This window comes from Homo sapiens, chromosome 6, assembly GCF_000001405.40.
Source record: "Homo sapiens chromosome 6, GRCh38.p14 Primary Assembly".
Classification (NCBI taxonomy): domain Eukaryota; kingdom Metazoa; phylum Chordata; class Mammalia; order Primates; family Hominidae; genus Homo; species Homo sapiens.
In genome coordinates this window covers 157,068,536-157,093,812 of record NC_000006.12, presented here as the reverse complement: position 1 = coordinate 157,093,812, position 25,277 = coordinate 157,068,536, and the positions used below count along the sequence as shown (strand labels likewise).

The 25,277-nt window shown below is 38.5% G+C and overlaps 1 protein-coding gene across 37 annotated transcripts in view, besides 3 other annotated features; it reads right to left on the bottom strand.

The window, feature by feature from the left end:
• ARID1B (AT-rich interaction domain 1B) overlaps positions 1-25,277 on the bottom strand; it is a 434,754-nt gene that overhangs the window by 116,967 nt on the left and 292,510 nt on the right. For 36 of the 37 annotated variants that reach the window (NM_001371656.1, XM_011535984.3, XM_017011105.3 and 33 more), the window contains one exon: positions 8,908-9,151. In NM_001371656.1, the coding sequence (NP_001358585.1) occupies positions 8,908-9,151 (244 nt within the window). Of the gene's footprint in view, positions 1-8,907; positions 9,152-21,242; positions 22,632-25,277 lie in introns of those variants that run through there. The other variant, NM_001438489.1, reaches the window with a different exon arrangement.
• Positions 12,251-12,752: an enhancer, noted in NCBI's record as "NANOG hESC enhancer chr6:157402195-157402696 (GRCh37/hg19 assembly coordinates)". NCBI's record gives its function as "activates a minimal SCP1, AML or CMV promoter by ChIP-STARR-seq in naive H9 embryonic stem cells {active_cell/tissue: H9 hESC(naive)}" and the evidence as "EXISTENCE:reporter gene assay evidence [ECO:0000049][PMID:30033119]".
• Positions 17,586-17,705: an enhancer, noted in NCBI's record as "active region_25328". NCBI's record gives its function as "activates an Ori minimal core promoter by ATAC-STARR-seq in GM12878 lymphoblastoid cells {active_cell/tissue: GM12878}" and the evidence as "EXISTENCE:reporter gene assay evidence [ECO:0000049][PMID:35858748]".
• Positions 17,716-17,765: an enhancer, noted in NCBI's record as "active region_25327". NCBI's record gives its function as "activates an Ori minimal core promoter by ATAC-STARR-seq in GM12878 lymphoblastoid cells {active_cell/tissue: GM12878}" and the evidence as "EXISTENCE:reporter gene assay evidence [ECO:0000049][PMID:35858748]".

Here is a 25,277-nt window from a genome sequence, read left to right as displayed (position 1 = left end):
CTTTCCACAGGATATCTCCTGGTATATCCAACACTCAAAGTGCAACATGCTACTTTTCTAAAACCATCAAATGAAGTAATATATTTGGCATCCTCAGCAAGGTCACACTCTTGGCATTCAGCTTTATGTATTTAATGCAGTTTGCAAGTACAAACTCCCATGTCACTTTCTGTTTGGAAGGGAGAATATCAACATTAACAATTCCTAGTTATATCATTTATAAACATGCAGATGTGGATTATGAAAGATTAATGCATTTTAGGATTAGTGAAGGCATTCCGTTTGTCTCATGCCGAAACCAATTCTGTTCTTCATTAGTCAATGACAACCCATATCACCCTGTTATGGAAGAGAAATCAAAGATGCAAGTGTGTGAATTGAGAATAAGTGATGAAACTGATTAGTAAGAGTCTTAACGGCTATAATCAATCAACACATCATAATAATCCTGGCTCCAGGGTTATCAGAAGACTGGGAAATAAACCTAACACTCTCTATAAAATGGTTTTGTTCCTTCCACAATTGTTACTTATTCTCTTTTAGGAAACATGGTGATATACCAGAAGTTTGTGAAATCAACTTTAGGAGCATCTTGACTCTAAGTACTATTCATTTACCCACCATTTTCCAAAATGTACTCAAGTGATTTTTGAAACTTTTTACTTCTAGGCTAAAATTAGTTCATAAAAGCTTTTGTACCCCTCCATTCTGAATCTTCATTCTCAGCGAAGGGAGAAGGCAGCGGGTCAATGCCAACAGCATTTCCACAGAGGCAGCACACGCAGAATCCAGACGCAGTGACACTCAGCTGAGCAGAGGTTCAGAGCAGGGACAGCCTACTCAGCTCAAGAGTGAAAACAAACAGAACGAGGTGTCTGAAGTGCTTCTCCAGAGAACAATGCAAAAAAATAATGGAGAAGTGGGAGTGGACCATTAGACCCACCATGAAAACACATGAGTCACTGCTGAGATTGCAGAGCAAGAAAAAGGCACATAATATTGCCTTGGTGACACAGGCTTTCTTGTATTTTCATACACAGAAGAATAGAGAAAGGGAACGGAAATTGACAGGATAATTTAAACTGAGTTGCCCAACTTTTTTTAATTAAGAGAGGAGCAAAACCAAGTGGGAATTTGTATTTTGATAAATTTCTATTGTTTTCTTATTTCTAAATGTGGGAGAAAGAAGAGGAGAAAAGGCTTAATTTGAAGTTTGCTGGAATGAAAGATTGAAAAGATTTGTGCTTTTGAAGAAAAGAATACTCATTCCCCACCCATCAGAATACCTGACTTGGGGTGTGGAGTGACCTCTGAAGGAGAAGAGTAGCTCAGAACACTGAGGCAGTTCTTCAAACGCAAAGGCCTTGGCCACCAGACAGCAATGGGGAATCTGTCCTCTAGAAACAGCGCTGAGAATATTCATGACCCATGGACTTGCTGAGTTTCCATAACCAGGATCTTGGCCTGAATTTTAAAGCTGTTATCTTAAAGTGGGAGGTTCTACATCACGCTACCAATAACTAAGCCATACAGAGATGCAACCCCGTCTCTCAAAAAGACAAAATATACAATTTGCTTTCTTAACTATTGCTAAGCAGCATTTGGAAGGGAATGGAAATAGTTTTGTATAACATCCAAATATTTTACTTTGTCAGGGAAAAAAATACTGGCTTAAGTTCTCTTTGGTTTGTAGAACTGCTGAATTGGTTTTCTGTGCTGCCACAGATTAAAAACATGGATATATCAATGGCATTTTGTGTTAATTTTTTTTTTCCTCCTCGGCTTGCCAATAAGCAGCATGCATCTTCCTTGCAACAAGCTGTTGCAGGATTTCCACCTCCAGTGAAGCCAAAAAGGAACATTCGATAGATATTTAAAAATAAGATTATTAGGTAAGATGATTATGCAGACTTTCAAATAAAAAATTTCTGTCAGTACAAGAAATGCCATTTTAGAGGGTCTACTGCTAATGTCATCACGAAACGACACTGGCTAAGAACCATTTACATATAGAAATAAACTCATGCTTTTTACCCTGAGTTTTATTAAGGCCAAATTAAAAAGTAGAAAGTTTATTTACTTAGGATGGGCTTGAGCCCTAAGAGACCTAAAACTCCAGGAGAAATGGGTTAAATGAAAGAGAGACATTGGTTTGCATCCTCCATTGTTCATCTGATAGGTACTAATCTTGACAAATTAGACCAGGAGCTATCATTTCCTCTCACTGGAATCCTTCCTGTTCACTCTGGACTATGACTAACTCCTAACTGAGATTCATCTTTCTCTTTCCCATTATAGCATCCTTCCAGATTCTGCTTGTTTGAATGTCAAATTAAGCAAGAAAATTAGTTTTTTGACCAGAATATCTTCTTGTTTGTATCTGCAGCTATATCGGCTGGTAGAGAAATCTACTTAGCTCTCACTTGCTGAAGGGTGGGACTGGGTGAGCACTCACACAGAAGAGCTCTAAATACACCCCAGTGCTGCCAAACAGTTCTTTTCCATATTTAATCCAATACGTGCCACCCTTTCTAGAACTCATGCTTTTTGTCTGAGATTTTCCTGAGGGGCACAGATTCATTATGGCTGGTTGGTATGCTGGATGCATCTCTCGCCCTCTAGGAATGGCCATGATAAAGCTGCAGAGAATTAGGCTCCACTATAAAGGAATTGGTGCTTTGTGGCGTAGGAGGACGAGCTCTGACCAAGCGATTTCTTCAGGCTCGTCACACCTGTGATCCTTTTCAAAGGACAGAGACTGAAGTTATTCACTGGGTATGAGTTCACATTAGCAGGTGCCACATGCTGTGCACTGTGGAGGGGCTCCTGGAAGAGGCTACCCCAGGCGGGAGGCGGCTACCCCAGGCAGGAGGCACACGTGCAGAGGTGATCACTGGAGTAGGGTGAAGCGCAGCTGGCTGGAGAGGGAGAAGGGGAGGGGAGGTATCAGTAGAAAAAGATGGGAGCAGTGAAGGTGGCTCCTGGAATGTGAGTGAGATTCCTCCTGACCTGTGCCTCCCGGCTTCACAGTCTCAGCTCTGAAGGCACCCTGACCCATCCCTCATGCCCAGCCAGCCAGCAGGTAGTCTGCCGAGAGGCCAGGTGGCAGGTGAGCGCCTCAAACAGCGAAGCACGAAATGTGAAAAGAAAAAGGGTTCTACTTTCATATTTGATGCAACTCTATTTTGTTTCTGTCTATGATAGCTAAGATGATGTTGCCTTTGATTAGTCTTACCTAATACCAAGCAAGAAGAACAATAGCCATGAAACAAACAGCTACTCATTATGTGCTAGCGTGAAGACCTAATTTTGTGTTTTTGACCCTAATCTATTATAATCAGTGGCCTTCTGCTGCCAGATCAAAGTGAGTTAACTCTACTTACACTGGACTTAGTACAAATACCAAATGCCTAATGCCTAAAAAAGAATGCGGAAAAATCTATTCAGGAATTTTCAGTTACTATCCTTAGATCTTCATTAATAAAACAGATGAGCTTAGTTTTATAAACAAAAGTAGCCAGGCTATGAACAGTTAACACCTGCCTGTCCATTCCTCACCCCCACGGTGAGCTCCCTCCTCTCAATATTTAAACACTGCCGCTGCTTACAGCACATGGAGGAAAAGCTGACAAAAGCCTCTGGCCAATAAAATAAAAAATTTTTAAGTTTGGCTTATTTACATTTTTGCTTTGTTAGTAAACTGGAATGGCTGGCTCTGGAGGCAAGACAAGTGAAATTAACATCCGCAGAATCTTCTGGCAACAGCGGTGCATTCAGATGCCGTGCTGAGTCAGCTTCCACCATGCATTAGGGGCAATCAGGCCCAGCGTAAGACCCAAGACCTGTTCAATACACATCCAAAACCCAGCAGCCCTCCTAACGCCAAAGTGAAAAACGCTAGGATATAACCCAAGAAGCAGTGTAAGTGCAACGTGATGGGATCATTTACTAGAATATCAGCATCATGTCTAATATCACACATTTCAGAATTAACTGTACCTGACATTACATCTACTTAATTTAAATGTATAGTATATGAATACACACTGCCAATTACAAAGATGGAGCTATTTCATTTCTGTCTCTAAATATAAATACATCAGTATGAAGAGGAGAGAGAATAGGTAAAAAACAAGAAAATTTGTGATGGCACTGGAGGGAGAGTACAGCGTTTGTGTTTCTGTTCTCAAATGCTTGTTTAGAGTCAACAAGCAGGCCTGAATTCTTTACCTTCTAACTATAGAGAGCTGCAAAGCTGGAGCCCAGGAATGTGCAAACAAAGGGAGAGAATCCATGTGGCTACCTAACATAAAAAATCTCCATTCTGCTTCTCCAAAGAATGCAGGAGGAAAAGCCCAGCTGAGTTAGGGATGTGGCGGGGCAGTGTTGTACCAGTGTATCACAGTAGTGGTTCCCATGACACTCACAATGTTTGTGATGCAGCAAGATAGGAGGGCAAATCTGCAGTGGGTGGAGGAACAGTTTAACAGGCAAGAAACAGAATCAGCCATTTGGGATGCTTTACTGGGCTTCGTTTATCTACCTCTGTGATACTTCTCATTAGCTGTCAATTACATTTACCAGGGTAGAGATGGAGAAAAATGATTGTTTTTTTTCAACAAATCCTAGGAAAGCAACATCAGGAAGAATCCCCTGCAACATTTGGCTTTACTTCATCCCAGCTATCAGCTACATAACAGCTGCACATTTTACAATGACTTGTTGGAGAGACAATGATTGAAAGAGCCAGTCTGTGAGACATGGAGAGGAGGTGATGAGATATGGCAGGAAGCAACAGGAGAGAAGAGAGGCCAAACACAAGTTGGTGCTGGGAGTAAGAGGAAGGAAGGGGACAGAAAGAAAACAAAAGACTACATATAGAAAAATAAAGGGAAATTCCTAACAGATAGCTCGACAGTTTGAGTATCACGCCTGGGAGAGCATGTCGTCTCTACATGGCATGTATGGTTCACTGGCAGACTCAGAACCAAATGAAGGTGGACTGCATATGAACTTGGGATCTGATGTATAGATACACACCATTTAAATATAAGGATTAGAGATGGGAAAAGGAGGAGGGAGATGGGCCTCATTATTCTCTAAAGGAAGGTGTATTTGCATTTAGGTGAAAGTAAATATAAAACAAAAAGCAAAGACCAACTTTATGATCATCTCCAAAATGTGGTTTTATTACCTATGACCAAGATCACACAAATATATAACATAATGCACGCTGGATAACTTAATATATTTAATACTTCTCAGAGAATAAGGATATGAATCTTAGGGAAATGATTTAAAAACTTCGAAAGGACAGGGTGCCTAGGTGGAGGGAAATGGAAATAGAAGACAATCATTTTTTTTCCCCAACAAAAACCTGTCATGAGCTTTGAGTAAATTCCATTAAAATAGCTGCATATAAAATGTTGGATGAACTGTTATCAAAAACTGACATTTGAGTGGCCCTCGGCTTAGCTGTGGGAACAAAGAGAAATGGGTAATACCTGGACTCAAGCCATGGACTACTCCCCCAAGGTCTAGGACAAGGTTACTGAGGGTAACCTGGCTCCTCTGTATGAATGAGAAAATGGTGCCCCTTCCCACAAGAGGGCAGGTAGATGTCAACTCCCATTCACCACTCAGACCCTGTGCAATGAGCACCTGTTGAAGTGTTTACAGCAGCCCTGGCAGTGACCACTGGGCAGGAAGTGCTGCTCACAGTTAGCTGATGTGGCCTCCACACAGGCAAAAAGAGGGAAAATAATCCAGGATTTTATACTGCATCTATTGTTAACTTTTCTGTGTGGCAGGCAGGCGGTCTAGCATAAATGTTTGCCTATGATCTGAGAGAAGCAGGGGCTAAGTGTTCAGCTAAAATTTTCATGTGTAGAGACAACAGTAGAAATTCTGTTAATCTCTGGGGTACAGTCATTCTCTCTCGTTTTCCGGTCTTCCTCTTAACCTTCTCAGGCTCAAACTCCAAGAGGAACGTGGACTTTTTTTTTTTTTCTAGAAGAAAACTGAGCTCAACTCTGTGAAAATATATTATGCTTTCATGGCTAGCTCTAGCAGTCCTACCGAACTACCTCAGCAAACACACCAAGTCATTACTGGGAACAACATACATGTCTTCTGAATTGCACAAAAACACCACTGGATTAAGAACCAGAAGACTTGCTGCCTAAATCAACTGTACAACTCTGAACAGTAATTGTCACAGACAGTCTCAGTTTGAATAATATCCATAATGGTGAACGTAACATCGTAAGAATCAACAAGCACTGAGTGCTCCGCATGTACCTGTCTCACGTGCAGTGACACATTTAATCTTTGCATTTCCCCTATAAGGTGGGGTTATCATCTTTACAGATGCAGAAACTGAGGCACAGAGAGGCTTAGAAGCTTCTTCAAGGTTATATGGCTAGTATCAGATAATTATGAAAGTCCATCAAGTTCAAATGTTTGTAATTCCACTTGGGAGAAAGGTGAATAAATGCCAAAATTGTTTATCAGATTTTTTAAGAGGTTACTCCATGGCGAATATACTAAGAAATGTTCTATTTGTCATATTTATATAATCTAACCCCATGTAGCTTTGCATTTAGCAAAGACAGTTAAGAATTTACTTGAAGAATATGCCACCAAAAAAAAGGTGGAGCTTTTGCTGCCTAATTTCCTCCCGGTACTAAATTTCATTGAATAGCTTTACCAAGCACCATATAGAGGTCGGCTACAGAGGAGCTGACTTGGAATAGTACAGTGAAGCAATATGGTGGTAAGTGTTTCTGACACAAGTTTAAAAAACAAACTATACACTTTAAATAACGTGTCCAAGAAAGTGGAAAGCTTTCTAGGAGTTAGCAGGGAGAAATGATAGTGAGATCCTTGTGCTCTCCGTCCGCACGCATCTGCAGTCACTGCGAAGAATGGGCATCCTTTGTGATGGTGTATAACCCACTCACCAGCTTTTACCCTGTGCAAACCAACTGAACCACAGACTCTGAGGCCAGTTAAATTTGCTGAGCTACTTCCTCTGTAAAATACTATATAATGTAACACCTGATACCCAGGATCACATGCCCGAAGTGAGCTTTTCTGTTGGGTTTTATCTTCTGTATTGCATCAAATCCAAACAATGAATATACAAGTTTAGAAATCCCCATTTGGAAGGACAGACATGTGGAAAGTCTTCAGATGGTTAACTACTCATGTCAGGAATTTAAAATTTAAAAGCATTATATCTTTATACCTCAAGAAAGTTTTCATTTAGGTTTTTAGAAAAAGTCCTTTTGACTCAATTTAGAATGAAAGAGTAAGCTCTTTGAGTAACGCAATATTTTACATATAACTTTCCAACATTTAGGTAGGTGACATCTCACAAACCATCTCAACACCAAAAACTGTCTTAAAAACTCTAGACTACAGAGTATTCATAGCATTAAAAAGTTAAAAGCAGCAGATAAGTCCAGGTTATTACAAACACTATGAGGACAAACATATATCTTTGAAAGAAAGATAACATCGAAATGCTTTAATCAAAATGCACTGAGCGTATACCTATATCAAATTACAGATGAATCTTAGAAATGTAACGTTTAGTTAAAAAAAGCAAATTTTAGCCTACACTACAAGTGGGTTGACCATATTATCTGACCTGCCCAAGACCTTCTGGCTTATGCCGCTATCCTACTGTAATTGTTAATAGTAGCCCTTTGCATGCACAAAAGTGTCTCATATTGGATGATAAATTATAGTCATTCCAAATATAATACATTTCCATAAAGCTAAGAACTTAATAAAACAATATATACTCTATGAATGTTTGTAATAAAATTCTTAGAAAAAAACCCAAAAACCAAAAGAACAATATTTTAAAAAAGATTAAAAGGATATTTGAAGTGAGGAAGAGGTATAGAGCTTGGGATAAGGAAGAAATATACAGGTAGATACAATGGCATTATGATACTCTAATTCTTAAACCGGATGGTGAATTCATGAATGTTTATTTGATAGTTGATGTTTCATAATTAGTGTGCTATGTATGTTCTTTTATTTAGAGATATATATGTGTAATATTCTAAACATTCCACAATACACTTTTTTTTTTTAATATAAAAGAGGTGAAACGTTAAAAAGCACCAAAACTAACGCCCATGATTTTGGAAGGATAGAATGAATTATCTGGTTTGGTGATAAAGGAAAGCTAGTTGTACGGTAGACTTGAATGGATGAAGTCTGATATAAGAAAGCTGGATGAGGATGAAGTAACTGACAAATAAATAACCAAATAAATAACCTCGAGAACATAATAAAGGGAGAAGATAGAGGCGATGCATGACAAGTGAAATAAATGAACACAGAGTTAACCAGAACATGGGCTCCTTGTGTCCAAGAGAAGGCACGAGTTTGTATCAGTAAGAACGCCTCGACCATGCTCCACCTTGACCAGTGCCTGCATGTGATCAGACACTGATAAGTATAGACTGTAGAAATGTTTTAGAAAATAAATGCTGTGGCAAGTATTGAATAGAACCACAAAAAAATAAGGCCAATCCTCATCAACAATCTCACTTTAGTGGCACTCATCAACAGAAGCTCTGATGTAACAGAATCATTACAAAACATATGCTAAGAGGATAAATAATACCCTGTTTCTGGCATAAGTTAAGGTAAATATGCAAATTGAAATTATCAAAGTAATTGGTCATTTTATTAAAGGGGTAGTTATAATCACCTGTTGAATATCTTTAGGAACTGGGACTCTCGTATGCCTTGGTGAGAATTCAGTTATACTCTTAATATGTGGCCACTAGGTTTTAAATAGTAAAGTAATGTGAGTTACTGTTGATGAACATGAAATCTCTCTTTATCACAAAGTAAAATAATAATTGTCAGGAAAGTAAATACCTGGGATACTTGCAGGAGAGATTGGGCCAGATCGAGACTGGTTGCTTCCTACAGGAGAGCCAACAGGAGAGGGAGATGGGCCCCCCGGGATGCTGGAGAGATGAGGGGACGCATGTGGGGAGAAAGGCGACTGCGCCGGGTTGCTCTGATCCCCTTGGCTGCTCGTGGACCCGGATGCACTGACTGCTGAGCTCAAAGTTGCTTCCGTTCCCGTGGGGAGGTCATCAATGGAGCCAGACAGATCCTAAGAAAGGAAAAGATGTATTTATAGAGTGACACGTTTGGATGAATATCTCATCAAAAGACGACTTGAAAATCATAATGACGTCCCCTTCAGAGATGAAGGTTTTCTGGGTAACACCCAAAATAAAAAAGCATGGCCACTTTTTATTAGATTTTAATGAGGTCATTTGTAAGTTGAACCAATAAGATCTTGCCTCTCTCCTAAAAAATGAGTAAAGTTGTACTTCTCTTTGATAAAACCATCCCCATACAGTTTGCCCTTCAGCTGTCAGCACCGAGTCCATTAGACCTGTTCAAAATGCCACACAACACAGACAGCACTCTGCCTGGTGACTTACCATAGGAATGGAATGCTGGTTCTTAAATGATTACTTCATAAAGTAAAAAACTACAGGCTTTGAGTCCTTTTTTTCAGAATTTGACACTGGTGGACTACGTGAATTTCAAACTAGGATATTGTAATGTAATAGCAGTCACAATTTTGACCAAACTTTGTGATGAGAAAGTTTTTTTTTTTTTGGGGGGGAGGTGATGAAGTCTCACTCTTGTCGCCCAGGCTGGAGTGTAATGGCGCGATCTTGGCTCACTGCAAGCTCTGCATCCTGGGTTCAAGCGATTCTCCTGCCTCAGCCTCCCTAGTAGCTGGGATTACAGGCACCTGCCACCACACCTGGCTAATTTTTGTATTTTTAATAGAGACGGGGTTTCACCATGTTGGCCAGGCTGGTCTCGAACTCCTGACCTCAGGCAATCTGCCTGCCGCAGCCTCCCAAAGTGCTGGGATTACTGGCATGAGCCACTGTGCCTGGCCGAGAAATTCTTACAATAAAGTGCCATTAAAAGAAAATAATAATGTGTGTATTTATATATGATATTGTGAAAATAAATGTCTTTGAAGTTATGTTGGCAGAAATGGGTCCTAATGTTATATCTTACTTTTTAATACCAGTTTTTCACCGTCAATGCCATCTATATTTTATCACCATACTCTCTGAGGCAGTGATTAAAAACCCCATTGATACAGATACAAAACAATGGAAGCTCAGAGAGTCCAAGTTACTGTTGAAGGTTACGTTACTGAGGACAGACTGTAGGTGCTAAAGACGAAAAGGGGAAGATGAGAGAGGAGGAAGAAGAAACTGTCTTCTGCTCCCTCAGCAGAAGAGGACGCAGACAAAGCCTTTACTTCAGCCTGCATCACTGGTGTGCCCCCCATGGCTCCCATGGAGGCCCCCATCAGCAGGTGCTCAGTGCATCCCCGTTGCAATGACTGGACTCCCAGATCACTGACCGAGCAATGTGCCAACGAGTTCTCAAGGCTGAGTTACAGCATAAAAGATACTTGTCCTGATAACTGAAGACTACATACTATAGAATGGAGTCAGAAATATCTGGTTATGCTACTGTTTACAAAGCATATTCAATCCTAATAGATCTCCACCCTCTAAATTTTATCAATGTTAAATTTTACCTCACTGCTTGCAACTGGGACTTCTGAGAATAGGGCTTTAGAATCTGGCAGAGGAAAATGCTAAGATTCTAAGAGTAAACCTAGACCAGAAAGTACAAAAAAAAGCAAGGGAAATCAGAGCTGGTTATAGCTCTTCAGGGTTTCCTGAAACGTCACAAAGCAAACTCAGGATTAGGATCCTAGTACCCTGGATAGTTTAGTTTATCTGGTAAGCATCTGTTATAGCATATAATTAACTTCTCTTTAAAAATCATATTCTAAAGTATACCTGACAGAACCTAATCAAAAAGAGAAATGCTATAGAAAAACAAAATGTCTTCTGCTAAGAAGAATATCTTTCTAAGTAAAACAGAAAACGTCTTCATTCCACAAAATCTTCAATGTCCAATGACTGTGCTTATGGGAAACAACAGAACAGCAACAGAGCAGACTGCAAACAGCACCCCTAGAAAAAGTTCATCAAATCTCCAAAACAGAAGCCTGGAGTGATGGCACAGCCTGTGGTCCCAGCTACTCGGGAAGCTGAGGCAGGAGGAGTGCTTGAGCCCAGGAGTTCAAGGCTACAGTGAGCTACAAGTGTACCTGTGAGCAGCCACTGCACTCCAGCCTAGGTGACACGGTGAGATGCAGTTCCAGAAAAAATCCAAAATAAAATTAAGTAAATTCAATCCGATTGTTAGAATTCAAAGGTATATAAACATTTATGCTAATCCTTATGATTAGCAGAAATGTAAGGGCACGTGAGATGCATGGTTTTGTACATATTCAGCTGGTGAAACTTTATATTTAACTTGATTACTGGACTCAACAACAGAAGTCTTGACAGAGACCACAGGGGCTGCAAAGTTGAAAATATTTACTCTCTGGCCCTTAACGGAAAAAGCTTGCTGACCCCTGATTTAAAGAACCACGTGTACTCACACCATCCCTACTGCCTTTGCCTATTCCTTGGGGGAAAAACAGGAATTAGGACAGGCCTCAGCTGAAATGCACCATAACTTTACCATACATCATGACTGGTACAAGCTTTAACAGGAACAGGAACTTACTCCGTTACTACATCCCCCTGAAAAATACTGAGTGACAACTCCATATAATCTTACTCTTTTTGAAGGGATCATAAAAACCCAGGATGGGTGATAGCCTCCATATCCAGGCCCTGACAGTACCCACCACACGGCAATGACCAATAAACAAGCGGCAGTCAGAGAACAGCCATCAGGCAGGAAATAGGCTTTTCATGTTTCTCTAAAGAAAAAAAAACCTGGTAGATAACAAGATATAAAATCCCATACTATATATGAAGTTAAACGTAGAAAGGACAAATCAGATTTAATTTTTGAAAAATCATCTATTGTAGTTAAATAATTTTATGCAAATCTCTCATCATAAAATCTGAAATTTTACTTTGAAGTTCTTGTAATTCTCTGCACAGCCTACAAGTTTCATCCCCATTCTCCCTTAAAATTCCATATTATGGTTTAAAAAGTGACACGGATGGGCATTAAGAGGGCTTTACTCAGGTTGCAAAGGCATCAAAAACATTTCTGTTATTCAACAAGCTGATCAAGGAAGTATCAAGAGAAAAATATAAAAACAGTGGCTTTCTTCGTGTTCATGTGTCATCAGAATTTCAGTGCTGACTAGACCTCAGTGTAACAGAAGAGTAATAAAAAGATATAATTATTATATTACTGTTACACACTCACGCGACTTTTATATGTAAATTATACAGAAATATTCCCGCCCTGCAGATTGTTAGGGTATCTGTATGTAGAGCTATCTTAAAACATGCTAATAAAAGAAGTTCAACAGTGGTTTAAGTATTCAGCCTAGTTAACAAAGAAGCTCTGTAACTAATACTCCTCTAGAGGACAATTTAGTCAGCAGGGCACCAACTCTATTCTTCTTTTATAAGTACTATCAGATCTATGATGCCTGTAAAGAACAGAGAGACCTTACTGCATCTCATTCTACCCAAGGCACCTTCAAGCTACAGTGCTTCCATTTATCTTGCTGGAAAGCTGGCAGGTGAGGTAATTGCAGGCAGTCTCTTTTAAGGGGCTAGGAGAGTCCTCCTGCCCCATGGCATTCCATAAATCAGTCCTCTTTTTGTGATGGGGTGATTGGCAAGGCAATGACTTCATGGGCTCTCAAGCATAGTAAAATCACTATTTTGCTATCATCATGTGATTTGGTGAAATCTTGCTATTAAGTTGGGTTTTCAGTAACTGACATCACTCGGAATACTGATTACTTTCTGGCACACCAAAAATAACTTAACTTCTACTATCGATGATTAATTTTTTAAAATCCCTGCCTTCAAAAACCAAAATCATGAAGCTGTTTAGCTTTAAAACTTAATTTAAATGACAGTTCCCTGCAATGACTCTCCCTCTGTAACCATCATCCTTCCACTGTCTCTCTGCCCATGTAAAATTTTCATTCTAACCCTAGTGACAAGTACAAGAGATTTCACTGTGCTTAGAATGAAATGCCACCCAAAGCAATAACAATCTTATCAGACTTTGACAAGAGAAACATTCACAAATTAACATGCAGCATGAATATGTTCAGATTCTCTATGTTGGGGCAGGCTCAGGGAGGGCAGCGTCAGAAGGAATAAAGATGGGACATCCCACAAAGAAGATGCATGGGAAGGATTTTTTAAAATCTGCAGATAATTGAAATAGATATTAAGTATAAAGACTCTCTCATGCCTACAGATTGTACATGATCCTTCCTAAAAATATTTTACATTACTACATGACGACTTGCTACACATCAAAAGACATATTTGGTTTTGATGGTATTCAATTTAGCGTAAGTTAGCTCACCAAAGGATAAATTCAGTCAATACTGGTGGCTTTACTTTCTCAGAGAACTGGGAATAAGTCAGAAAATTTTACTCCCTTGCTTAATTAAATAAGTGGGTTTTTTAAAAAGCAAATGAAAATACTCTAAGCTATGGTTCTCAATACAATTAGCTGATGGTATTAGATCAGCCGCTCATAGAAAGCTGCCAAGCACTGCACACATTTGGGCATCTCTTGCTCAGAAGTGCCCCAGGAGAGCATGAGGATAAACACTGAATCAGAAATAGAGAAGATATTTCAATCAATGAGACCAGTTCAGGTCTCTTGTTTAAGGATTTTAATAGGATACAGTTAATGATTTCTCACTGTGACTTCCCATGGGTTTAAAGCACAGGTTAAAACGCCAGTTCAGTGGTCTTCAAAAAAAGTCTCTTAATTATCTTAAAAAGCAGAAGTAGTGTCTCTTCTCCTTTTTAGAATATTAAAATGAAATAAAACCGTGTACTTTTTCTTTTTCTTTTTCTCTCTTCAACTACACCCTCACCTTCTTAAGGGTAGTGACTTCTTGTGCCAAGTGCGGTGCTAAAGACAAAATGGATATGATTGTTCATCGGTAAATATCACTAAATTTATAAGCTCTACAGAAAAATACAGCTGCAAACACTATAGAAAGTAATCCAGCACATGCAAATATTTCTAAATATTTACCATAAATGCTCTACTGAAAACTATTGACTTAGCTATTAAAACTTAGCAATGAATTATCAGCCCTCTGTTTCTAATTAACATCCTGGATGTCAAGTATCCAGTGTCATTAGATTCTTGGTTCTTTAGAAACACACTGTAAAATTACTTCACATCTTCCACCCTTATTTCACAACTATCATTTTTGGTCACGTGATATGAATACACCTTGAAATTGATATGAGAATTGAGTCAATAAATTGACAGACACATACACACAAAAGGAAAATTCTCACAGTGACTGTTTAATTTCCATGATGTTTAAAGGCTTTTTCTTGCATTAACCTGTGTTGTAATAGTGTTTATGTCCAGATACCTACCAAAGTCCCTGCTGCTTTCATTTGTCTAGACAGCAAATGAGTTAAAAGCTCAGACTTCCTATCTTAGACCACATTAAAAAATAAAGCAAAGGCACCAGAAAAACAGAATCCCTGGAAAAAAAATCTGCCAAGCACTAATTGTTAGGCCTTAAGAGCATCCTCTTTCCAAGTTATACATGTGTCGCTTTTTATTTAATCATGTCCAAATATGTATTTATTTTCTCATTATGTGACAGTATGTACAGTACACACCCTTAAGATGTACGAGGTCAGCTGGAAAAAAAGGTTGATGTTAATTTAAAATTAGTTCTAAGCTCCAAAAATCCGTATCAAAAGCCAGAGATAACACAAGAAAAACTAATGAGCCAAAATTCACTTTAAGAGGGGTGGCCAAGAACTACTTTTGGGTGACATGACTTTCACCTGATACGTTTGTGTTATTTCTCAGGCAAAGATTCCATTATGGGTAACTCTCATTTTAAGGGGGACATTTGTAGGATAATCAGCTAAATTGACACTTTACAAAAGCAAAATTCTGAGTTAGGCATACCATTTTAGATAAATATCATTGTAATGGTTACATTTTCTTTGGTATTTAAAAATCAGCATCTAAAATAAAAGCTGTTCTCAAAGGTCCTTGGGTTAAAACTCCTGATATGGAACATGTTGCCATCCTAAACTTAGAAGTGGTAAACAATGCAAGTATGAAATATGCATCATAAAAGGGATCTTTCTTCCCCACTGCACAAGCCTCAAGGGGTTCCTAAAATAGTCTCAGTTTTCAAGCTCTTTTGAAGAGATTCTCCACTCTTCAACTATTAACAGTCTCAGGAGTTACGTAGACTAGAAAGAACAACAAATAGACCTCTCAACATAGTATGGGCAGTAGAACTCAAAAATAATTTGGTACGAAAATGTATTTATAAGCTTTTTTTGGGTATATAGAATCTGGGATTTACCTTCATCTGGAAGTAACGTTTCCCTTCTTGGTTAGACTCCCAGGACCAGCCTCAGAAATGCTCATGATTATGGCCACGAGAATGCTGACTTTAGCAACAACTGATACCACCACTGATCAAGGGCCGTCTAAGTGCTCCAGATACTATGCATATTTTCTTACGTGAGAAAATAACAGCATCTTGTTAGCGGCATTTCATTGTTCCTACCAGTTAAAATGCTTTTTATCTGATTTTATCATACTTAAGTCCAACGAACTTAAGACTCTTCCTACCCACAAGTCAAGCCCCATGTCAGTGCTAAAACACGAAAAAGACTCGTGTGCGTAACTGCTGGCCCTTTATTATTCCAGGAACAATGATGTTTTGAAAACAAATTATAGTGTACTGATGAAATTAAAGCTTTATAAAAAAGTGAGATACTGAATAATGTGAGGAAAGGTATTTTTGTACTAGAGTCACCCTTAAGCAAGCCCTATCTAAGTTTTGTAGTTGGTGCTGTGGGATGGGTGAGAGGAGGTGGAGAAAAAGGGAGAAGGCAGTGTTGACGTGTGGATGACATTTTATATTCATATGTGGACTTGTACACTTGAATGTCCTTCTATCATTGAGTCTCAATGAAGAGAGACAAACCACACAAACAACAATGAAGTGCAGAAAATTCTATGATGGAGGGTGAATTAGTAAGTGCTAAGAGGACAGACTGACGGGTAAATGTCCAGGGACTGGGGTCCAAACCAGGAGTAAAGGATACTCTAGGACAGCTGGTGGGAAGGGGCACTTGGCAGGGAAAGAGACAGGAAGCAGAGGGGACAATCCACAAAGGCACAAAGGGCAGGAAGAGTGAGGGGAGGGCATGCTCATTTCGGCACAGGCGGCACTTGGGATGCCCAGGAGAGAGGGTGAGGCTCCGGAGCCTGGCAGAGGCAGGCTGCGCATGGCCTCACGTGCTTATGCCAAGGAACAGGGGCCTACATTTTTAGGAACCAGGGAGCCACAGAGGTCCAGAAAGTGAGTCTTAATATTATTAGAAGAGGAAAAATTTGCAATAGGTGCCAACGAAGAGACTAAGAACACTTTAAACACAATTAAAATTGCAGGTACTATTTAAGAATAAATCTGTAAAGTGCTTTTTAAAAAATCTGTATATTTTTAGCATTATATAGAATTAAACAAATAACACAATGACAACAAAATTGCCTGAGTAACTCTAGTCTGGGTTAAATAGCAACATGTTTTCTAGATTGCAATAATTTTAAGGATCGACATAGTCATCTGACTCATTTCAGGTCCATGTGAGAATCAATGAAAAACATGAGTTGAAAGATATATGCCTTAACCTTAAAACAGCCTGACAGTATCTAAAAACTATGACTAACATACAGTCTTAAAGATTATAGTCTCTTAATTCTATATTCTACTCCAAAACTGCTGGTGATGACTCTCAAGGTATTTAGTTAGAAAGGAAAAAATCACCTAATACCACTGAGGAAGAGAGAGAGATGGGTTTATGGGTTGGTGCTTCCCAAACATCATTGCCAGGTAGGAACCTATAAATATTAATGACCCATGTGCTTTTGAAAGTAAATTGACAAACTAACAAGACCTGTAAATATATAAGATTCAGACTTTGCCTACAGATTCCTGTTTTTATAACTGAAAGTTTACAATAAATCTTCAGGACAGAAAAGCCATCAATACCACCACTTCCATCTCTCATGGTAAAAAAAAACCCACAACAACTTTACTGTTTATCTTAGAAGTACAATGCTTAGCACACAGAATCTCTAAAAATAACACAATAAAAAGGCATGAGCCTTCTGGAGACATTCATTTCTTCAGTAGTATAGCAGTAAAATGCTTATAAACATTAAGATTTATAGGAACTGTAAATAAATTAGCAACTTTAAAAAAATTAGGCAGGAATATTGCTTGATCCCAGGAGTTCAAGGCTGTAGGACACTATTGTACCTGTGAATAGCCTCTGCATTCCAGCCTGGGCAACACAGTGAGACCTCATCTCCTGGAGGAAAAAAAAACAAAACAAACAAACAAAAAAACCTAACAGAAAAACACACAACTCACAAATTGTGTGGAGTCTACTATGAAAAATAGGCAAGTTTTACTTGTAGAACATTACTAAACTTGGTTATTTTGATATTCTACCCATTCACATGAACCATAAGAAAAAATGTATTTGTTCTTCATCCTTCACTGAACTTTTTAACTTTCAATTTTGAAATGACTTCAGACTGAGAGTTCCTTTACATCCTTCATCCGGTTTCCCTAACAGCAACATTTCACATAACATGGCACATTTATCAAAACTGCAAAATGAACAGTACTACGACACTGTTAACCAGAGACTTCATTCATATTTTTCCAGCTTTGCCACTTATGTCCCTTTTCTGTTCCAGGACCCAACCCACCATCCATGTTACAATGACTCGCCGTGTCTCCTTAGCCTCCTCCATTCTGTGACAGTTTCCCAGTCTTTCCTTGACACAGTTGAAGAGTACTTGTCAGGTATTTTGTAAAATGTCCTTCATTTGCATGTCTTGGTGTTTTCTCATGATGAGACTGGGCTTACAGATTTTGGGGGAAAATACCACAGAAGTGAAGTGTCCTTCATATCGTACCATAGCGGGGAGGACGAGGTCAACATGACGATGTCAACATGACTCACCACTGGTGATGTTAGCCTTGATCACTTGGTTAAGGTGGTGTCAACCAGGTTTCTCCATTGTTAAGTTACTTTATTCCCTGTCCATACTCTACTCATGAAGGGAGTCACTAAGTCCAGCCCACACTCATGGGAGGGGAATTAAGCTCCACCTCCTAGTAAAAGAATATCAAAAATTTTGTGGATGTATGTAAAAACCAGACAAGAATAAACATTTTGGGTGATATATATGAAATTATGCAAGTATCCTAGTAGAAAATTTTCATATTTTCATTAAAATCATTTTTAAGACTTCTGAATGCTTTAGAAAAGTAGAGAATTCAGAAACTTTTTACATGATTAGCTTAACTAGATTACAGATGGAAATGTTTTATGGAGACTATTTTTATATTTTAAAATCAAATTCAACAAATGCAGTACTCCCGCAAAAGTCAAACTTAAAACCATGCATTTTTCTTATTTTCTGTTATGATTCATAGACTCACTTAGATAAGAGGTTTCCAAAATGAGTTTTCATTTTTGTACAGGGGCAGCTGGTCACTTAATACCTCAAGTGCTAGCACTCAAGTGCAATTTTACATAATAATTTTTTCCAAGAGCATATAACCACTTTATAATATGTTACTTCAAAAACTACTCAAAAGGAGGTGGTCATCAACCTATTCAGGGTCTCAGAAAGAAACTTCCAATGCCAATAATAATAACCATGATGATAAAGAAAATAGTATCAATAAGGACTTGAATGAGCACTGGACACCCAGTGTGTTTTACACTCAACCATACTACCTCTCCACAAGAGCCATTCTTACACCACGCCATGATGTTACTATACCTCACCTTTATAAATAATTACCCTGTTCCCTGGAGCACGTTCCCAGACCCTAGAGTAGGATAAAAAGTTTCCTCTGATGATCACTTCACTCCACTATAAAGAGTCTCAAAGACAGCATAAAATAAGACATGGGACTCCCAAAGGCACAAGAATAAAATTCACATTTCCTTTGCACTGTAATACCTTTGAACAAGGGAGAGACCAAAAGAACTTGACTCACTAGCCCATCATATTGCCTAATTCCTCTTTATCCAAGTAAATTATATATCCAAACAAGTAAAGCTGGACTTAAACTCTGATCAATAATCTGTAAATTGGCCGGGCATGGTGTCTCATGCCTGTAATCCTAGCACTTTGGGAGGCCGAGGTGGGCGGATCATCTGAGCTCGGGAGTTCGAGATCAGCCTGGCCAACATGGTGAAACCCCATCTCTACTAAAAATAAAAATTAGCCCCGTGTGGTGAGGCACACCTGTAATCCCAGCTACTCAGGAGGCTGAGGCACGAGAATTGCTTGAACCCCGGAGGCTGAGGTTGCAGTGAGCTGAGAGTGTGCACCACTTAGTTCCAGCCTGGGTGACAGAGTGAGACTCTGTCTCAAACAAACCAACAAACAAACAAACAAAAAACAATCTGAAAATCTCTGGAAGGTGCTGTGAAGCCTTCTTGCTACATCTTATTCTAATCCTCTAATGAAACCTGCTTCTCAAAGGCATGCAATCAATGTTCAAGTTTTCTTTTTGATATTTGTATGGTATCATAACAGTCTTCTTTTTGTTTTGGGGGATGGGGATGATTACAATAGAATTCGGGCTCTGGAACCAGACAGCTGCTGGTCAGTTTCACTCACTCGGAGGACTTGGGCAAAGGCCTGAGCCACAGTCAAACCCTACCGGCCTCCACTCCACTTGTGTGTGTAGCATGTGGATAATAAATAATGAACTCACAGTGTTGAGAGAGTTAACTGAGTTGCTGTAGATAAAGCAGCACTAAGCATGATCTGTCTGGCACCAAGATCTGTGCTCGTTAAATACTTACTGTGATAAAGGTGTTGAATAATAACATGGCAGCTAACTCCTCCAGCAGGAATTGTGGGGTAAGAGCAGTGTAAACTCAGGTCCTGGTGCAATCATTTCTTCACCTAACCTTAAGCAAGTTACCTAAGTTCACTGAGAATACTTAATTTCACCACCCCCCAAATAGAGAAAATAACATTTATGCCACAGTGAGAATTAAATGCAATCGTGAATCTGAAACATTAAGCATACAATAAGTGCTCAATAAGCAGTCGCTATGTATAAATACATACATCCACATATTAACACAGTTCTGACACATACTGTTTTTAAACACTGCTTATAAGGTAAAATACATTTTGAGTAAAGAATGTGTAAATGACTTGTAGAAAAATATCTCACTTAAAAGATGGGGTGCATAGGGCCAGGCGCGGTGGCTCACATCTGTAATCCTAGCACTTTGGGAGGCTGAGGCAGGCAGATCACCTGAGGTCAGGAGTTTGAGGCCAGCCTGGCCAACACGGTGAAACCCTGTCTCTACTAAAACTACAAAAATTTAGGCAGGTGTTGTGGTGTACATCTGTAATTCCAGCTATTCAGGAGGCTGGGGCAGGAGAATTCCCTGAACCCAGGAGGCGGAGGTTGCAGTGAGCCGAGATTGTACCACTGCACTCCAGCCAGAGCGACAGAGTGAGGCTGTGTCTCCAAAAAAAAAAAAAAAAAGATGGGGTGAATAAATACTAGTGGCATAAATGTATCCCATTCTTTATCAAATATTTATCAGATAATTATGTATTAGGCAAAGAGTTATATTAACAATCAATATTATACTAAGCAAATGGCCTTTGGCACTTCTTTAAAGTATATAAACACTACACACCAAAGACAGCACTGACTAGAGAAGGGAACCAGCCCAGGTTGTAAAGCCTTGGTTCAAGTCTTTGCTGTAGTACTTCCCAGTGGTGTGACATTGGGCAAGTGATTTAACATCTCTAAGCCTCAGTTTCTTCACCTATAAAATGGATCTCTGTCTCAAAGAGGCTGAGAGAACTGAATGAGTTAATAAAGAATCCACTTAATATATGTTAGTGATTATTTTGATTTTTGTTTTATAATATCACATAGTATTAAGATAATTTAAAACAGGAAATAAGAAAACTGGACATTGTAACAGCAATAAGTTAGAAATCATCTAAATCTGTTTAGTAGCGAGCAATTTAAAAGTATATAGAAATTATTAAAAATGTATGTCATATTAATATAAACAGTACAATTTTATTGAAAAGATTGAACGAAAATCAAGTAACAACAGAAAATAAACATTATAAAGATTATATGAGCATGCAGGCTTATTTATACATACAAAATACACTTGTATATACGTGCCTTTTTAAATGCCTAACAGGTATAGACTGGTGCTGAATAAAATATTAACAGTAGTTATTTGAGGTGATCAGATTTGGGAGGATTTTCACTTCCTTCTTTGTACTTGAGAATTTACCAACTGTATAAATGCTGAAGCTTTTTTTGTAAAGGAAATAAAACAAAAGGGGACCCTGGAGATTTTAACACATAGCTACAGCACAACTGAATGAAGAGAAGATTAACTTATGCCCACTCGAAGGTGAACAACAAATCCTATTTAAAAGATGGGAAACAGATGAATAGCAGTAGCATGAAATCACATTAGTATTTTCAGAATAGATGTTAAAACTTAATGAAGACATATACAATAAGGAAATGATAAGATCAAGTTGGACAAAGAAAAAATTCTGCTCATATGCATACTTTGCACATTTGATCAACCTAATATTTTTACTAAGATTTTCTTTATGGTCCCCATTTAGCAAGTCTGTAAATACCTGAATAAGATAGCTGAGGAAAACTTCTGAAAAATCCGATTTTGGGTAAGTGGGAAAAAGCAAAAGTCTAAAGTCAGATTTTCATAGCATGGCCTTTTGATAATAACAGCCCCAGTCTAACAACCCAACCTTCCCCAAAAGACGAACAAATAAATTCAGACATAGGAACTTCTAGTTAAATGGGTCACAGAAGCTGGCATCTTGAACCTGAAGATTCTCAGAAGAAACAGAAGTCACATGCCTATCAATAATTTACACAGACTTTAAAATAAATTGTTATTCTTTCACTGCTGGCAACTTTGTGGAATAGGACCAATTATCAGGAAACAATGAATACCACTGCTTCAGGTACAGGTAGCGCCTGTGCCCGGAATAACTCCTCAACAATCTTGTCAATGGTCTCCTTCTAAGAGTTACATGCTTAATGTTTGTTTGTTTTGTTGTTGTATTTTTTTTCCTTTCAAAGATAATTATAATTTTTAAGACAATTATTTGTGAACTGATGCTTTTAAAGTTCCTGTTTCATTTGGAAATTGTAGAAGTCTTAAAGTAATGAAATGGAGAGGAAAGAGTATCCTAAAACTATAACCTGCAGTCCATTTGTCCTACTGAGCTCACTTTTTGCTCTTAGGATGTGTCACCACGTGAGATTGTTTAGGAGCACCACGGCAGTCCATCAGTCTGCAGAGTGTGATGGGACCTTCCAAGGTGTGCCCTTGTGTGGAGTGCACCTGCCTCTTCTTGCCTTCTGCATCCTGTCCTCTTCTGAATTTTTCTCAACACTGCTAAGTAGATAAGACATTGTACTAAGGATAAAATGAATTTTGGCTTTGAGAATAAAAGCAGCATCTTTAAAAATAAACATACGAAGACTGGTAAATGTTACTTAGAAATTAAATAAAAGAAGAGTGAAGGAAAAAAATGTAAAGCTAAGAGGAGCACAGCAATCTGCTCCGAGCTGCACGAGTGCCAGTTTGTGGGCCCCAGGGCTCGGCAGGATTTCTCTGTACAGTGCCAAACTCCAACAATATTGTTATGGTTAGAAAGGAATTTCTCACAAGAGCTAACAAAGGCAGAAGGTCATAAATAAACCCAGCAGGATTGCCTTGTCAGTTCTCATTATTAGCGCTGCAGGCATTTGCTTTTCTATGGGCTTCTTACAGGTTCATTTAAGTGTAAGAGTTCCTCCTCAAAAATTCACATGCTCGTAAATAAAACTGTTCCTAATCTAGCAATGTAAAATACTTGAAAACTAAGAAAATAAGTAAGTAAATAAACACATAAAGGCCAGGAGACCTGCAAAGGGCAAGGGATACTGCCGCATGCTCCAGAACTTCATACCTGAACTCCTGGCCTGATTGACTACCCTTAGCACTGACCACAAGAATTGTCTGAAGAATTATATCTGGGCAGGAAACGATGCTGAGCTCCTAAACTGATGCTGACATATGTTATAAACTGAGCAAAGCACAGCTGTGTGATCATTACTGTAATTATGAAGTGACATTTAGTGTTAACTTTTATTGAAGATTTTTAACTAGTAACAAAAAAGGAGGTGTCAGTATACTAGCAATAGGAAGAGATGTTGATATTTAGCAATTTAGAATATCAAAACTTACAATAATTCCAATATAGATTTTTATTCAAAGGAGAAAAGATCTGAAGACCTGATTTCATGTACTACTAACCAAAAAATATATTTATTAGCAATAAGAGAAATATATTTTATCTTTCTTTAAAAAAAAAAGAAAAAAACAAAATGAACAATTTAAGGTAACACAGCTTATTATTCTTTAAAAAATAAGAGAAACACATTGGAAAACAAAATAGAAAAAAAATGATCAGTAGTGTCACTATTCAGAGCTTACTAAATTGTAACATTTTGCCATATTTCCTTCTAGTCTTTTTTCTTAGGTATAGGCAACAACATATCTTTAAGCATAATATGTATGCAAAAACAGATATGATATCAACTGACCTACTGGCTATCCTCTATCAGGAAAAATGAATTACATCATGCCTTTTAAGAGAACAACTACAATTTCCAAGGAGAAACGTTATTCGTATAGGCTAGGACGCTGGAATGCCGCTTCATGTAGTTACCTAGTCAGTCCTAGAAGCTGAACTGTTAAGTACTGTTATGTTACAAAGAAAGGTATGTTTGCGGGATTCCTTTCCACTAGCTTGCAACCTCTCATTACCTACCACTCATGATCATTAGTGTCAAGCTGATACTGATTCTTCACAGGAAAAAGGCTCCAGGTTTGCTTTAGGCACTGGCAATTGGTCTATGATCTGAGTATTCAAACAGGATTGCCCTTGAATAACATAACATTACTGGTACAAGGAACATGAATAAATGCTGAAGCAAAGGGAATTTAAATGTTCAAGAGTGGCAAAAAACTGAGAGAGGCCTCACTTTACATTGGTGAGGAAAAGTGGGTTTTGCCAGAGAACATTTCTGAAGCAGCTAAGTAACTGCATTAACTGTAGCCTACCTACAAGAAATTAGTAGTGTTAAATTTGCAATACGTTGCAAACATCATATTAAATTTTATTAGATTAATGGCTTTATAACCAGGTAGCCCACAGTTGACAATGAGAGGCCATAAACAGTCCTCAGGAACTTGCTACTGAATATTCTGACAACAGCAATAAATAGTAAATGCAAGGTTCCCATACCTGACACATGCAGGACATGAATAATATATAAAAAATAAATGGAGCTATATTTAGACTTGTGACAGCTAACCTATGCTCTTCTTAGCCAAACTAGACATCATCAATTCTTAGAGCAGTTTAGCAGATGTTAAGGGGCCTCACATTTGAGTATAGAAAAAGAAAAAAAAATAACCACAGTAGTTCAGATAAAAACGTGATACAAGTTAAACATTAAAATGTAGGGGGACGCTACATTTCACTCAGAAGAGAAACCCTTATGACTGCCTGGTTGTTAGGAACTGCACAGAATTTTCAGAACTGAAACAAGACCACAGTAGACATTTACTCCTATTCTGTGTTTTCGAAATGTGAAACAGAGGTCCGGAGAAGCTAAGTGATTCATATCAAAACTATGCACAGGTTCTACAAACACAGACTACATTAGGATGCAGCTTCTAGATATATTCATTAACAACATCAGCGCAGATATTGATAGCTGCATCCAAGAGAGCAGAGGATGTGTTTGTATGCATCTGTGTACGCACGTGTGTGAGAGGGTGTATGTCTCTAGTTAAATGCATTCTCTAACAGGTATTTCACACTATGTAAGCATATGATGATCTCAAAATCTTTTCATTTAGTAAAAATATAACTTTGTAAGTGATAAAAGGAAGAGTAAAATGCAAAACTATGCAGCAGAAATGTCACAGTATGCATAAGAGCAGGATATACTTTGATAGATCCTTTGGTGACTTAAAATAGATCTC